Genomic DNA, 16778 nt, shown 5'->3' on the forward strand with positions numbered 1-16778 from the left:
GATCTAATTTAATTAAAAAATACGTGGGGAGGAGTAAGCACAAATATGCAGAATAAGAAATGGCAAGGGAAAGAGACTATTACTACAGAGGAAGCCAGACAGTCATAAAAGACTCCTGTGCACACATACCTCTTAGCCCATTTAGGCTGCTATAACAAAATACCGTAAACTGGGTAGCTTACAAACAACAGAATTTATTTCACACAGTTCTGAAGGCTGGGAGCCTAAGATCAAGGCAAGCAGATTTGGTATCTGGTGAAAGACCTGTTTTCTGATTCATAGATGGTGGCTTCTACCTGTGCCCTCACATGGTGGAAGAGGTGACAGAGCTCCTTTGAGCTGACTTTCTAAGGGCACTAATCCCTGTGAATATTGTCAGAATCAAAATGAGTCACTTGTGTTAAAAAAAAAAAAAAATCCCGAAATGCAGAGCCGGGAAGGCCATGAAGGCCTGACAACAAAAGCTATCACAAAAGACTGCAAAACCCATGACCGTGCACAAAGGCACAACCTTACACAAAATAATTCTTCTGCGAGGACATCTGCCCAGCAACTGCCTGTCCAAACTTGGACTGACGCCACCCTTGTTATTGATCCTTTTAGCCAAAGATAATTATCTCAAAAGAATTATGTAATCCCTCTCATTTTTTCTTTAAAAACTTTTGTCTTCCTTTACCTCCCTCAATATGCATGTAGTTTACTATTGTGGGTATATTCCCATTGCAACACCCATTTCCAAATATGATTTAGAGAGTCTCCCTCTCTGTTTGTTATTTAGGATGACATAACATTCATGGGGCTCCACCCTCATGACTTAATCATTTCCCAAGCTCCACTTCTTAATACCATCACCTCAGGGGTTAGAATTTCAACATAAGAATTTGGGGAGGGACACAAATATTCAGACCATACCACACACCTCTATGCAAAGAAATTTGAAAACCTAATGAAATGGATAATATCTCAGTAAAATATAGTTGAACAAAATCGACCTCACTGAAAAGTTAAATCAATTTCAAGGAATAAATATGGCATGCTATCAAGGAACTAACTCACATCAGCACCAAGCTCAGATGGTTTCACAAGAGGATTTTATAAAAATGGTTAACAAATAAATAGGGCTATTACTACATAAATTATTCCAGAGAAGAGAAAATGAAGGTGATTTTTTTTTGTATCCTTGACCAAATGAAGGGAAATTTCTAAATTCTATGAAGCAGGTTGACATTGATATCCTAAGCTGATAAAGAGAGCAGACACAGTATCATTTTTTAAAATGCTAAATATTGGCTGGGTGCAGTGGCTCATGCCTGTAATCCCAATACGTTGGGAGGCCGAGGTGGGTGGATCACCTGAGGTCAGGAATTTGAGGCCAGCCTGACCAACATGGTGAAACTCCACCTCTACTAAAAATACAAAATTAGCCAGACATGGCAGGGCATGCCTGTAATCCCAGCTACTTGGGAGGCTGAGGGAGGAGAATCCCTTGAACCCGGAAGGCAGAGTTTGCAGTGAGCTGAGGTTGTGCCATTGCATTCCAGCCTGGGCAACAAGAGAAAAACTCTGTCTCAAAAAAAAAAAAAAAAAAAAAAAAAGCTAAATATCACCTCCTTTGAGAATAAAAATAAATAATGTTAAATAAAATGTTAGCAAACAGATTCAAATACCACATTAAGAAAATGATAAACCATGACCAAGTGGAGTTAATAATGAAAATGTGAGATGAGTCCAATATTGCAAAATCTTTTTTTTTTTTTTTTCCCAGAGTTTTGCTGTTGTTGCCCAGGCTGGAGTGCAATGGCACAATCTCAGCTCACCGCAACCTCCGCTTTCTGGGTTCAAGTGATTCTCCTTCCTCAGTATGAGCCACCACCCTGGCTAATTTTGTATTTTTAGTAGAGATGGGGTTTCTCCATGTTGGTCATGCTGGTCTTGAACTCCTGACCTCAGGTGATCTGCCCGCCTCAGCCTCCCAAAGTGCTGGGATTACAGGCATGAGCCACCATGCCCAGCAGCAAAATCTTTTAATATAATTAAACATATTTGTAGATCTAAGAAGAAAAATCATATGATCATTCCCATATGTACTTAAAAAGCTTTGACAAAACTGGCCAGGTGCGTTGGCTCACACCTGTAATCCCAGCACTTTGGGAGGCTGAGGCTAGCAGATCACTTGAGGCTAGGAGTTCAAGACCAGCCTGGCCAACATGGTGAAATCCCATCTCTGCTAAAATTACAAAAATTAGCCAGGCATGGTGGCATGAGCCTGTAATCCTAGCTACTTGGGAGACTGAGGCAGGAGAAGTGCTTGAGCCTGGGAGGCAGAGGTTGCAGTGAGCCAAGATCGAGCCACTGCACGACAGCCTGGGTGACAAGATCAAAACTCCATCTCAAAAAAAAAAAAAAAAAAGAAGAAAATGTTTTGAGAATCTGTCTCAAAACAAACAAACAAAAAACAAACAAACAAAAAAAGCTTTGACAAAACCAAGCATCCATTGTGAAAAAGTAACAAACAAAAACCAAACAACAAAAAACTCTTGAAAAACACACTAAAAACATATATACGTTAGTCCTAAAGCCAGTATCTTACTTAAGGGAAAACACTAAAGATCAGGAGTAAGACAAGGAAACTCATTAGTTTCACTACTATTTAACATTGTCCTGGAGGTATAAGCCAATGCAATTAGACAAGAAAAGTCAAGTTAGGCATAAGAATTGGAAAAAATATATAGTAAGTATCTCTGTATGCCAAAGGTATGATAGCATACCTGGTGAATCCCAGAGATTCGTTGATAATGTTCAAACAGTAATAGCATTCTGCAGGTATAGTATATAAAATTAATATATAAAATTTAATAGCTTTCATCCAAACAATAATTAGAGCATAATCTTGCAGGAAAAATCATTTACAATGATGACAAGGAAGATAAAACATTTAGGAATAATGTTAACAAGAAATGCACAACATGTGTATGGGAAAACTTTGAAACATAAGAAGTAGACTTGAAGCTGGTGCATGCCTCTAGTCCCAGCTACTTGGGAGGCTGAGGTGGGAGGATTGCTTGAGCCCAGGGTTTTGAGTCTAGCCTCTTGGGAAAAAAAAAAGCAGACTAGAATGAATGGTAAAACGTTCCTTGCTCTTTGATAGAGTGATTCAACTTACTCCCCAAATTCATTTATGATATTAAACTGGGCCCCATAAAAATACCAAAAAATTTTGTTTTAATGATATGGACAAGTTGATATTAACTTCAGGTGGAAAATATGGATTTTTTTTTTTTTTTTGGAGATGGAGTTTCACTCTTGTTGCCCAGGTTGGAGTGCAATGGCACCATCTTGGCTCACTGCAACCTCTGCCTCCCAGGGTCAAGTGATTCTCCTCTCTCAGTCTCCTAAGTAGCTGGAATTACAGGCGCCTGCCACCACACTCGGCTAATTTTTGTATTTTTAGTAGAGACAGGGTTTCATCATATTGGTTAGGCTGGTGTCGAACTCCTGACCTCAGGTGATCCACCCGTTTTGGCTTCCCAAAGTGCTGGGATTACAGGCGTGAGCCACTGCTCCTGGCCTGGAATTTTTAATAAGTAGTATTGGGGCAACTGAAAAACCATTTGGAAAAGATAATAAAATTAGATTCATTCCTAATCCCACACACAAGAATAAACTCAAAATAGATCAGAGTTTTAAACATAAAATATGAAACTGTATGTCTAGACAAGAACTAGATGAAAATATGGGTAAATTCTATAACTTAGATGCAGGGAAAGTCTTTTAAATTGCGTCTCAAAATCCAGATACAATACAAGAAAAATAGATTCATTTAACTGTATAAAAATAAAACGTTTTGCATGACAAAAACACCCAAGCAAAGTCAAAAGATGAATAACCAACAAGGAGAAAATATTTGCAGTTTGCATCACAGTTTTAAAAAGTCAAAATATATGAAGAAAAAAAGATCAAAAAACATCCTGTGGAAAATTTGACAAAAGGCATGACTAGACAACTCACACACACAAAAGTTATCCAATGGCCCTTAAACATACATAAATATGTTCAACAACTCATAATAAAAGAAATAAAAATTAAAACTACACTGAGTATTGAATGTCGTAAGTAAATGCTTTTATTTATCAATTGATTTCCCACAAAGGTGCCAAGGCAATTCAATGGGAAAAAAATAGTCTTTCAACAAATAGTACTAGGACAACTGGATATCCACATGAAAAAGAATGAAATTGGACTCTTGCTTCACATCCTGTAACAAAATTAACTCAAAATGAATCAAAGACCTAAATATAAGAGCTAAAACTATAAAAATTTTAGGAGAAAACCTTGAAAACATTATGCTAAGTGATAGAAGTCAGTTGAAAAAGGCCACTTAGTGTCTGATTGCATTTATATGAAATGTCCATAATTGGCAAATCTATGCAGACAGAAAGTAGGGCTGGGTGCGGTGGCTAACACCTATAATCCCAGCACTTTGGGAGGCTGAGGTAGGTGGATCCCTTGAGGTCAAGAGTTTTAGACCAGCCTGATCAGCATGGTGAAACCCTGTGTCTACTAAAAATTCAAACATTAGCCAGGTATGGTGGCATATGCCTGTAATCCCAGCTACTTGGGAGTCTGAGTCAGGAGAATCCTTGGGCCTGGGGGGAGGCAGGGGTTGCAGTGAGCTGAGATGGTGCCATTGAACTCTAGCCTGGGCAACAAAGTGAAACTCCATCTCAAACAAACAAACAAACAAACAACAACAACCAAAAAAAACAAGAAAACAAGAAAGTAGATTAGTGCTGTCCGGGGGAGGGGAAAAGTGACTTTAGTGTGTATGAGGTTTCTTTTTGGGGTGATGAAAATATTCTAAAATTAGATTATAGGGATGCAAAACATAACTCTGTGAAGATACTAAAAAACATGGCCAGGTATGGCGGCTCACGCCTGTAATCCCAGCACTTTGGGAGGCCGAGGCAGGTGGATCACCTGAGGTTTGGAATTTGAGACCAGCCTGGCCAACATGGAGAAACCCCATCCCTACTAAAATACAAAAATTAGCCGGGCATGGTGGCTCGTGCCTGTAATCACAGCCACTTGGGAGACTGAGGCAGGAGAATTGCTTGAACTTGGGAGGTGGAGGTTGCAGTGAGCCGAGATCATGCCACTGCACCCATAGCCTAGGTGACAGAGCGAGACTCTGTCTCAAAATAAATAAAAACAACAACAACCAACAAAACAAACAAAAAAATTACATTGTACACTTTAAATGGGTGGATTTTATGGCATGTAAATTATGTATCAAAAAATTGTTTTTAAAAAACTACACTGAGATATCATTTCTCACCTGCCAGCTTGGCAAGAATTCAAAATCCTGACAGTTCACTGTATTGGTGAGTCCACGGGGAAACCAGCACTCTCCTATGGTCCAACCACTAGAGAAGGGAATTTGGCAATACCTAACAAAACCACATATGCACTTACCCTTTAACCCAATATTCCCAGTAACATTCCCACTTATGGTGACTTACCCAAAAGATAACACTTCCTACAGTAGAAAACTACATATGCAGAAGTGGGGCCAGGTGCGCTCATGTCTATAATCCCAGCACACTGGGAGGCTGATGCGGGAGGATTGCTTGAGTCCAGGAGTTCAAGACTAGCCTGAGCAACAGAGTGAGACCCCCGTCTCTGCAAATAATAAAAAATTAGCCAGGCATGGTGGTGCAAACCTGTGGTCCCAGCTACTTGGGAGGCTGAGGCCAGAGAATTGCTTGAGCCCAGGAAGTCGAGGCTGCAGTTAGCTGGGATAGTGCCACAGCTCTCAGCTTGAGCAACAGAGTGAGACCCTGTCTAAAAAAAAAAAAATGCAGAAAAGTTTTCATTGCTGTATTGTTTATAATTGCAAAACACTGAAAATGACCTCAATATCTAAATATAGGAAATAGGTTGAATAAACTATGATACCTACAAGGGATACTCTGCAGCTGCACAAAGAAAGAGGACAGTCTTATGTCCTCTTGTCATATGGAGTGCTTCCCAAGATATTTTGTTCAGTGAAACAAGCAAAATGTATATTTAGAAAGAGGGAAAATATGAAAACAGACATATATCTGTTTACCTTTACTGAAAGAAACATGGAAAGTATATAACAGAACATAATGAAGTTGGTTATCTACAGTCTATTGGGCATTGGGAGTGGAGAATGAGCAGAAGGAATATGGAAAGGAGTGCCTTTCTCTCAGTGTCTCTCTCTTTTTTTTTTTTTTTTGTGAGACAGACAGTCTCGTTCTGTCACCCAGGCTGGAGTGCAGTGGTGCAATCTCGGCTCACTGCAAACTCCGCCTCCTGACTTCAAGTGATTCTCTGCCTCAGCCTCCCGAGTAGCTGGGATTACAGGAAGGTGCCACCACGCCTGGGTATTTTTTGTATTTTTAGTAGAGAAGAGGTTTCAACATGTTGGCCAGGCTGGTCTTGATCTCGTGACCTCAAGTGATCCAACCACTTCGGCTTCCCAAAGTGCTGGGATTACAGGCGTGAGCTGCTGCACCTGGTCCCTTTCTCTGATTATACTTTTTTTTTGTATGGTTTTTCTTTTAGAAGCATTCTAATATTCTATATATTCAAAAATAAAATTAAGGCTGGGCTCAGTGGCTCACGCCTGTAATCGTAGCATTTTGGGAGGCCAAGGCAGGCAGATCACCTGAGGTCAGGAGTTTAAGACCAGCCTGGCCAACATGGTGAAACCCCATCTCTACTAAAAATACAAAAAAATGCAGCCGGGCATCGTGGCGGGCGCTTATAATCTCGGCTACTCAGGAGGCTGAGGCAAGAGAATTGCTTGAACCTGGGTGGCGGAGGTTTGTAGTGAGCCGAGATTGCACCATTGCACTCCAGCCTGGGGGACAAGAGCGAAACTCCTTCTCAAAAAGAAAATAATAAATAAATAAATAAAATTGAATCAACAAGAATGCGGATACCCGAAACACCTAAAACTAAAACAAATTGATTTAACAACATTTCTGATGAATAATATAACCACATTGAAGGAAAGAAAAGAACTAATCCAAGTAACTTAGGAGCACACTATTTGTATACATGTCCTTGGTTTTTGTCAGGGTTGGGGTTGGGAAGCAAATTGCAAACAAACCCCGAATCCCTTTTTGTTAGATTTGATTTTTATACTGAAATGAGCAAAACAACACAAAAACTATCTTAGGTATATAACAAGATTGAGCAAATGAATGGATACATTTCTATTATTGGGAGCCAGGGTTCTCATTGCGGGGGAAGGGAGATCTAAGGATGGGGGAAAGTCAAGAAATCAGTGGAGATGGGCTAAAATGGAATGTTTTAGTGTTAGCTCACACTTTCTAAAATATATATAAAAATGTTTTAGCCAAGTGTGATGGTTCATGCCTGTAGTTCCAGCTACTCAGGCTGAGGCAGGAGGATTACTTGAGCCCAGGAGGTCGAGGCTGCAGTGAGTTATAATAGTGCCACTGTACTCCAGCCTAGGCGACAAAGTGAGACCCTGTTTCAAAACAAAGAAAAAAAAAAGACTGGTTCAGGGAAAATCATCAATGGATGCTAAATTTATGAAGGAAATTTTAATGTAGCACTTGATATTTATTTGACTGTCTTAAAATATCTTGCCGTAGATTGCTTATTTGTTGCAAGAGAAAAAAATAGTAACTGTAGAGAAGAAAAAAATTGACAACACCTTGACCAAATGATCAAAATTAACATCACCAAAGTGGGGCAGATGGACACCTTGTGCCTTCGAATGGGATACCCTGAGAGTGATGGAGCACCACGTGTACGATGTTCAGACTGGGGATGCATAGCCTGAATGGAATCATGAGGAAATAACAGTCAAATGCAAATGGAGGGACATTCTGTAATAAACATGAGGGCTCTATTTTTAAAAAGGTCAATGTCATTAAAGTTAAAGAACAGCTGAGAAACTGTTTCAGATTACAGGAGATTAAAGAGACACAATTCAATAAAGGACATGATTGGGTCAATTGATAGAACTGGAATATAAATGGTAGGTTAGATAAATATATTGTATTGGTGTGAAATTTCCTGAAGTTAACAACCGCTCTGTGATTATATAATAAAAGAGAATGTTCTTATTCTTAGGCAAAACATGCTGATGTATTTAGGGGAAGAAATGCGTGATATATGCAACTTATTCTCAAATGTTTCCTCCCCAAAATTTACATACAAGAGAACCAGTGGAGCTGGGCTGGGTGGCTCACACCTCTAATCCCAGCACTTTGGGAGGCCAAGGGCGGGGGGTGGCAGGGGGATCACTTGAGCCAGGAGTTTGAGACAAGCCTGGTTAACATGGTGAAACCCCATTTCTACTAAAAATACACATACACAAAATTAGCTGGGCGTGGTGGCGCGCACCTGTAGTTTTAGCTACTAGGGAGGCTGAGGCAGGGGAATCGCTTGAACCTGGGAGGCAGAGGTTGCAGTGAGCCAAGATCTCGCCACTGCACTCTAGCCTGGGTGACAGAGTGAGACTGTGTCTCAAAAAAAATTGAAAAAAAAAAAAGAGAGAGAGAGAACCAATGGGATAAAATGTTAACAATAATTGCAAACAATATGTTGAAATTCAAACAAATTTTTTGAAATTATTTCCAAATAATTTATGCTACCGCATGTGTCTTCAGGTCAGCTGAGGCTAATTAATCAGTTGGCTTTCACTCCAGCAGAGGGTTGCGTCCAGGCCCACCTCAGGTGTCTCTCATCTTCCTTGGACCACTGGGCTAGGCAGAATATGGTCCTCTCATGATTAAGGCACTAGTACAAGAAAGGAGGCACAGCCAACTGCAGAAACACAGGTGGGGCCCACTGCTGCGTCACATCTGGCAACATCCCACTGACCAAAGCAAGTCACATGGTCAAGCCCAAAGTCAGAGTGGGGAAGTACATTCTGTCTTTAAAAGCAAACCAAAACAAATTGATTTAACAGCATTTCCGATGAATAATATAACCACATTGAAGGAAAGAAAAGAACAAATCCGTATGAGGACACTATATATTTGTCCTTGGTTTTGGTCAGGGTTGGGGTTGGGAAGCAAATTGCAAACAAACCCTGACTTCTGTTTTATTAGATTTGATTTTTGTACTGAAATGGGCAAAACAACACAAAAATTATCTTTGGTATATTATAGGATTGAGCAAATGAGTAGATTTGATAGTAGACATTGATATTATTGGAGGCCAGGGTTCTCACTGCGGAGGAAGGGAGATGTAAGGATGGGGGAAGGCCAGGAAGTACTTGGTGGGAGAGAGCGCAAAGTCCCAGGCAAGAGGTGTGGACACATGGAGGGGTGAAAAACTGGGACCAATAATAAATAGTTCAACCTACCACAGGTGGCCAATGTGAATACATGGTAATACATGGTAGCTATTTAGAAAAATATTTGTTAAATTACAGCAAGCCAGGAATCTAAGTTAGTAGGGATGAAAATATTGCTTTTGGCTCTGAAAGGGCAATGTCTCAGCTAACAAGTAGCAAAGAGAGAGGCTGATTCCCCCAGCCTGCCTAATTATTGAGGCATCATCTCTACTTACTGAAAAACCACGGCAAGGAGGCTGTCCAAGTTCAAGTGCCTGATTTGATCTTTCCATGGGAGGAGCAAGCTCAGGGAGATGACAAAGAACAGATAGATGCATATGATGGAATTCCACATTGTTCATTTATGCTGGGGAAATTAACCACCCACTCAGTCCTGGTCACAGGGTCTCCCTTCTGATGTGGCAGGTGGGACCTTTCAAGACACCCAAGTATGGTTTTTTTTTTTTTTTTTTTTTTGAGGTGGAGTCTTGCTCTGTCACCCAGGCTGGAGTGCAATGGTGTGATCTCGGTTCGCTGCAACCTCCACCTCCCAGGTTCAAGTGATTCTCCTGCCTCAGCCTCCTGAGTACCTGGGATTACAGGCGCCCACCACCACGCCCGGCTAATTTTTGTATTTTTAGTAGAGACAGGGTTTCGCCATGTTGGCCAGGCTGGTCTCAAACTCCTGACCTCAAGTGATCAGCCAGCCTCGGCCTCTCAAAGTGCTGGGATTACAGGCGTGACCCACCGCGCCTGGCCCCAGCTATAGTTTAGACGGTTGCTGGTTAAGCAAATAATTCGAGCAGATGGAATTGGATCTTCCTAAGGAATGTTCCTATTATCTTGTGACTTTTCTTTCTCTAGTCTACAAATAAGAAGATAAACTTTTCTCTGGATAACTGGAAAGAATCCTAGAAATCAGAGTATTGTGCCCTTTGAAAAATATTGAAGAAACTCTACAAAGTCTTGCTCTTCAACACAGTTTTTTGGACTCCATACAGAACACTCTGCATTATGACCAGACAATGGACTTATTGCCACGGTGGAATAAAGGTTAGATTTTAATCTGTGTAGTTTGTGCCTGCCCAGTATTCGTTCATTCTTCCTCCAGTAGTGAAGGCCAGAATTCCCTCTGAAGAGCCAGTTCCTCCCATCTATGACTCTTAGTCCATCTGATTCTGGTGGAGCCCACTTCTTCCCCACTCCAGCGTGGTCCCAAGTCTCAGACTCAAGCCAATCAGTGCATCCCAAACCCAGGATTGCTCTAGGATGGTCATGTGATTCAACTAAGCTAAGAAGAGGCAGATCCAGGACTTTAAAAAACAAACAATAAACTCCTGAAACAACTCCCCAAATAACCAATAAATTGTTAATTTGTTTTTTTTTTTTTTTTTTTGAGACGGAGTCTCACTCTGTTGCCTAGACTGGAGTGCAGTGGCACGATCTTGGCTCACTCCAACCTCTGTTTCTCGGGTCCAAGCAATTCTCCTGCCTCAGCCTCCCGAGTAGCTGGGATTACAGGCACCTGCCACCACACCCAGCTAATTTTTGTATTTTTAGTAGAGACAGGGTTTCACCATGTTGGCCAGGCTGGCCTTAAACTCCTGACCTTAAGTGATCCACCTGCCTTGGCCTCCAAAGTGCTGGGATTACAGGTATGAGCCACCATGCCCTGCCAACCAATTGTTTAGAAGAGCCTTTTCTTCTGCCCATGAATTTTGGAGGAAGTAAACTTGCAGCTGCTTGGAGTCCCTAAAAGGGAAAAAATTGGGGCTGCTCTCCAGTTGGCGAGAGCCTACCCAAGCGGGACACTAACATAGAGGAAAATACAGCTGAGAAAGAGGAAGAATCCAACCCCTGAGAAATAATCTGAGCCAAATTCAGCAATGCTTGAATCTACCCCGTGGAATTTTCAGTTTCGTAAGTCAGTAGTTTTAAATTTTATTTCCTGTAAGTCTCAGTTGAGTTTCTCTCACTTGAGGGTAGGAAAGGTTTTATTTGTCTTTGTCTCCCAAGTACTCAGTGTTAACTCATAAAGAAGCATCCTTGTGTGCCATATTAAAAGACTTAGGGCTGGGCGAGGTGGCTCACTCCTGTAATCCCAGCACTGGAGGCTGAGGCAGGCGAATCACTTGAGGTCAGGAGTTTGAGACCAGGCTGTCCAACATGGTGAAACCTTGTCTCTATTAAACATACAAAAATTAGCTGGGTGTGGTGTCAGGTGCCTGTAATCCCTTTTACTCGGAAGGCTTAGACGAGAGAATCGCTTGAACCCCGGGAGGCAGAGGTTGCGGTGAACCAAGATCGCGCTACTGCACTCCAGCCTGGGGGACAGAGTGAGATGCCATCTCAAAAAAAAAAAAAAAAAAAAAAGGCTTAGGCTTGATCCCCGGCAAGTGAGGAGTAACTGAGGAGCTGTAAGCAGCAAAGCTATATGAAGCGTTTCATGCATTGGAGCTATGGGTGGGTAGACCTTTCAAAAGCAAGCAGTGGCGTGAACCTGGGAAGCGGAGCTTGCAGTGAGCTGAGATCGCGTCACTGCACTCCAGCCTGGGCGACAGAGCGAGACTCCGTCTCAGAAAAAAAAAAAAAAAAAGCCAAGCAGTGGCAGACATGAAATCTTTACCTCATAGCCCCACCCAGCTGAAATTACACACCCTCTGACAACAGGAGGCCAGGGACCAAACTGAGTTGTACACTCCCTGTATAGGTATGTAAGAGATAGGGCTTCTGTTCTCCCCATTCCTCCCTCTCACCATACCTGGACTGCTTTTGGAAGGAAACTTCTAGGGGTCCATGAGGCAGGCCTGCACACATTCCAAGCAGGCAGTAAAGCGCATTTCATTCTGCATGGTGTCATCAGGCATTCGTTAAAGGAATATATGACCTGTGGGTGATTAAAATCTAATGAAAACAGGCATTCTCAGAATGACTTCCAGAATCCAGGCAAGAGAGCACTGTTAAATGTCTGGAAATTATTGTACAGTTAAAGCACCCACACTCCCTTCTCTCCCAGACAACCCTGGGTCAGAATTGATCTTCCCTGTCTTTGTTCTTCTACTGTGCTCATAATCTCTCAAGTGCAACACGGATCGTGATATTGTCAGAGGTGTGTGAACCAGAACAACTCTGTCTTGAATAGGAGCTGAGTAAAGTGAGGCTAAGACCTGCTGGGCTTCATTCCCAGACTGTTAAGGCATCCTGAGTCACAGGATGAGATAGGAGGTCAGCACAAACACAGATCATAAAGACCTTGCTGATAAAACAGGTTGCAGTGAAGAAGCCGGCAAAAACCCACCAAAACCAAGAAGGCCACGAGAGTGATCTCTGGTCATCCTCACTACTACACTCCCATCAGCATCATGACAGTATACAAATGCCATGGCAATGTCAGGGAGTTACCCTATATGGTCTAAAAATGGGAGGCATGAATAATCCACTCCTTGTTTAGCATATCATCAGGGAATAGCCATAAAAATGGGCAAACAGCAGCCCTCAGGGCTGCTCTGTCTATAGAGTAGCCATTCGTTCATTCCTTTACTTTCCTAATAAACTTGCTTTCACTCTACTCTGTGGACTTTCCCTGAATTCTTTCTTGCGTGAGATCCGAGAACCCTCTCTTGGGGACCGAGACCCCTCTCTTGGGGACCGAGACCCCTTTCCGGTAACAGCATGACTGTAAAGTGGAGTTGCTTTGTCTATATTCCCTTCTAGAGGTGAACCTTGAGGTCAGGGACAGTCTTACTCATCTTTATGGTCCCCTGCACACCCCCACAATGCCCTTAATACCCAGTTGTTCAATGGACTTGGTGAAATTTGTAATCTCTAAATAGGCCTTGTGAAACCAAACTACATATGGCCTGAGAAGGATTCTGTACGTCTTTATTTGAGTCTTTGTGGACAAACTGCAACCTAACTTAGTAAGTAGACAAGATTGAAAACCTAACTTAGGAGTATGCGCCTGTAACAATAGCTGAGTCCTGGCCAATCCCAGTGGCCATCCTTCAACCACTCATACACTGCTGAGTGTTCAAACTGTGTTCAAATAAGGCAAACGCCAACCTGTAACCAATCCGGCTGTTTCTGTACCTCACTTCTGATTTCTGTATGTCGCTTCCCTTTTTTTGTCTATAAATTTGTTCTGACCATGAGGCATCCCTGGAGTCTCTCTGAATCTACTGTGATTCTGGGGCTGCCTGATTGGTGAATTGTTTTTTGCTCAATTAAACTCTCTTAAATTTAATTCAGCTCAAGTTTTTCCTTTAACAGCCTGACTTTATTTTGTTATATATATATATTTTGAGGTGGAGTTTTGCTTTAGTTGCCCAGGCTGGAGTGCAATGGCGCCATCTCGGCTCACCGCAACCTCCGCCTCCCGAGTTCACGCGATTCTCCAGCCTCAGCCTCCTGAGCAGCTGGGATTACAGGCATACGCCACCATGCCTGGCTGATTTAGTATTTTTAGTAGAGATGGGGTTTCTCCATGTTGGTCAGGCTGGTCTCAAACTCCCAACCTCAGGTGATCTGCCCACCTCGGCCTCCCAAAGAGTTGGGATTATAGGCACAAGCCACGGTGCCCGGCAACAGCCTGGTTAAAAAAAAAAAAAATTGGGCCGGGCATGGTGGCTCACGCCTGTAATCCCAGCACTTTGGGAGGCTGAGGCGGGAGGACCACGAGGTCAGGAGATGGAGACCATCCTGGATAACACGGTGAAACCCCGTCTCTACTAAAAATACAAAAAAAATAGCCGGGCGTGGTGGCAGGCGCCTGTAGTCCCAGCTACTAGGGAGGCTGAGGGAGGAGAATGGCGTGAACCCGGGAGGCGGAGTTTGCAGTAAGCCGAGATCGCGCCACTGCACTCTAGCCTGGGTGACAGAGTGAGACTCCGTCTCAAAAAAAAAAAAAAAAAAAAAAAAAATTGAAAATAAACATGCTCCCTGAATCCATATGTTTATTAAGACTCTTTTGTGGCCAGTGACAGAAACTTAACCCAGTCACTTAAGAAAATCGCTGGTTCATTGATTCACCTTCAGGCACAGCTGGATGCAGAGTTTCAAACAGTGTCACCTACACTCTATTTTTGTTCTGCTTTCCTTTGTATTAGGCTTTGTTCTCCTGCAAGCTCTGCGCTTGAGATGACCAATATGGTTACTAGCATCTGTAGGCTAAATTCAGCCAGCTTGGCAAGTACAGTAGAAAAGAGCTCCCCAAGGTTGGGCGCGGTGGCTCACAGCTGTAATCCCAGCACTTTGGGAGGCGGAGTGGGAGAGAGGTGGTGGATCACCTGAGGTCAGGAGTTCGAGACCAGTCTGGCCAACATGGTGAAACCCCGTCTCTACTAAAAATACAAAAAATTAACCGGTCGTGATGTCTCGCGCCTGTAATCCCAGCTACTTGGGAGGCTGAGGCAGAAGAATCGGGTGAACCCAGGAGGCAGAGGTTGCAGTGAGCAGAGATCGTGCATTGCACTCCAGCCTGGGCAATAAGAGTGAAACTCCGTCTCAAAAAAAAAAAAGAGCTCCTCTTCCTCAGAATCTCCAGCAAAGGTCTAAGGATCAAGTCTCATTGGTTTGGCTTGGGTCATCTGTCCATGACTGAGCCACGTGTTGTAGCCAGGAGACTGGGCTGTACTGGTTGGCGAGGTCTGGTTCACATGCCCATTCTTGGACCAAGGAGTGAGGCTAGCCCCATCTAAATCACATGGATTGAGAGTAGAGGGAAAAGAGGTTCCTCAAAGGAAAATGAGGGCAATACTACCTGAAGAAAGGAAAATAGATTACGGGTGGCTAAAATCACAAATGTCCACCATATATAAGTATTTGATAATTCATGTGTGTGTCTGTGTATATGTATGCAGACATGTAATTAATATATGTAAGCAAAAGCTAATTATATACAAACGAATTTTATTAAAATTATGTCAATAACAGTGATAATGATAGGCTACTATCAACTGAAGTTTACTTCAGTGCTAGCACTTTCTAGCTACTTTACATCTATTAACTCATGTAATCCTTATACTACCCCATGAGGCAGGTGCTACTATGTCTTCACGTTAAGGGCAAAAATTTAGATCTGCCGAAACTCAAATTGGTTACCATATTACATTGTCTCACATTTAGAAAACATAAATCAGAAGTGTACTAGGGACTGGGCGTGGTGGCTCACAACTGTAATCCCAGCACTTTGTGAGGCCGAGGCGGGCAGATCACCTAAGGTCAGGAGTTCGAGACCAGCTTGGCCAACGTGGTGAAACCCTGTCTCTACTAAAAATACAAAAATTAGCTGGGCATGGTGGCGGGTGCCTGTATTCCCAGCTGTTAGAGAGGCTGAGGCAGGAGAATTGCTTGAACCCAGGAGGCGGAGGTTGCAGTGAGTCGAGATCTTGCCACTGCACTCCAGCCTAGGAGATAAGAGCAAAATTCCAGCTATAAAAAAAAAAAAAGAAATGTACTAGGGTATTTGATAATTTTCTTCCCCTCCTACTACCCTACTGGGTGGACTCATTCATGCAGCAAACACCAAGTATTATAATGTGTTAAGTCTTCTATCAGGTACTCCGGAGACAGAAAAGTAACATGAGATACCTGCCTGGAGGGTTCCAGTCTGGTGGGGTAGACAGACACATAAACACAGGATTACAGGGCAGTGTGGTAAGTTTTACAGCAACAGTCTCTTTTTAAAAAATTTTTAAATTAAAACAAATTTTTTTTTTTGAGACAGAGTCTAGCTCTGTTGCCCAGGCTAGAGTGCAGTGGCACGATCTCGGCTCACTGCAGCCTCAGCCTCCTGGGTTCAAGCGATTCTCCTACCTCAGCCTCTCAAGTAGCTGGGATTACAGGCGTCCACCACCACGCCTGGCTAAGTTTTGTATTTTTTTTAGTAGAGACGGGGTTTCGCCATGTTGGCCAGGCTGGTCTTGAACTCCTGAGCTCGTGATCCGCCCACCCTGGTCTCCCAAAGTGCTGGGATTACAGGCATGAGCCACCGTGCCCGGCCTATAGCAACAGTCTCTATGTGGAATTCTCCCTTTTGTTTCCCTTCCACACAAAATGTTCAAAAACATCTTACTGTAATTCAGTAGTGTTATGAAAAGAAGATAAAAGAATTTCAGTTGAAATAAAAAATTATTTCTGCCATAGACTTCATTGAGCATTATTAAATCCAGAAAAGGGTGATCAAATGGGGTGGTTCTGTTTAGATTTCACTTCACAATTATGAAAATGTACTTAATTCTCCCTGGCTGCCAGCTTCTAAGTACCATGTCCACTTATTCACATTTCCCATCATGTCTGTGTTCTGGTTAAATAGTCCTGTGTCCTCTAGACCTAACAAAAGTATTAAAATTAATCCAGTGATTTTAAAGTGTGGGAAAGGTGATTTGGGTGATTTTAAAGTGTGGGAAAGGTGATTTGGGTGATTTTAAAGTGTGGG

General features: G+C 42.5%; 2 annotated features.

The window, feature by feature from the left end:
- Window positions 12796-12885: an enhancer, noted in NCBI's record as "active region_23633". NCBI's record gives its function as "activates an Ori minimal core promoter by ATAC-STARR-seq in GM12878 lymphoblastoid cells {active_cell/tissue: GM12878}" and the evidence as "EXISTENCE:reporter gene assay evidence [ECO:0000049][PMID:35858748]".
- Window positions 12916-13005: an enhancer, noted in NCBI's record as "active region_23634". NCBI's record gives its function as "activates an Ori minimal core promoter by ATAC-STARR-seq in GM12878 lymphoblastoid cells {active_cell/tissue: GM12878}" and the evidence as "EXISTENCE:reporter gene assay evidence [ECO:0000049][PMID:35858748]".

Source organism: Homo sapiens, chromosome 5, assembly GCF_000001405.40.
Source record: "Homo sapiens chromosome 5, GRCh38.p14 Primary Assembly".
NCBI classification, from domain to species: Eukaryota; Metazoa; Chordata; class Mammalia; order Primates; family Hominidae; genus Homo; species Homo sapiens.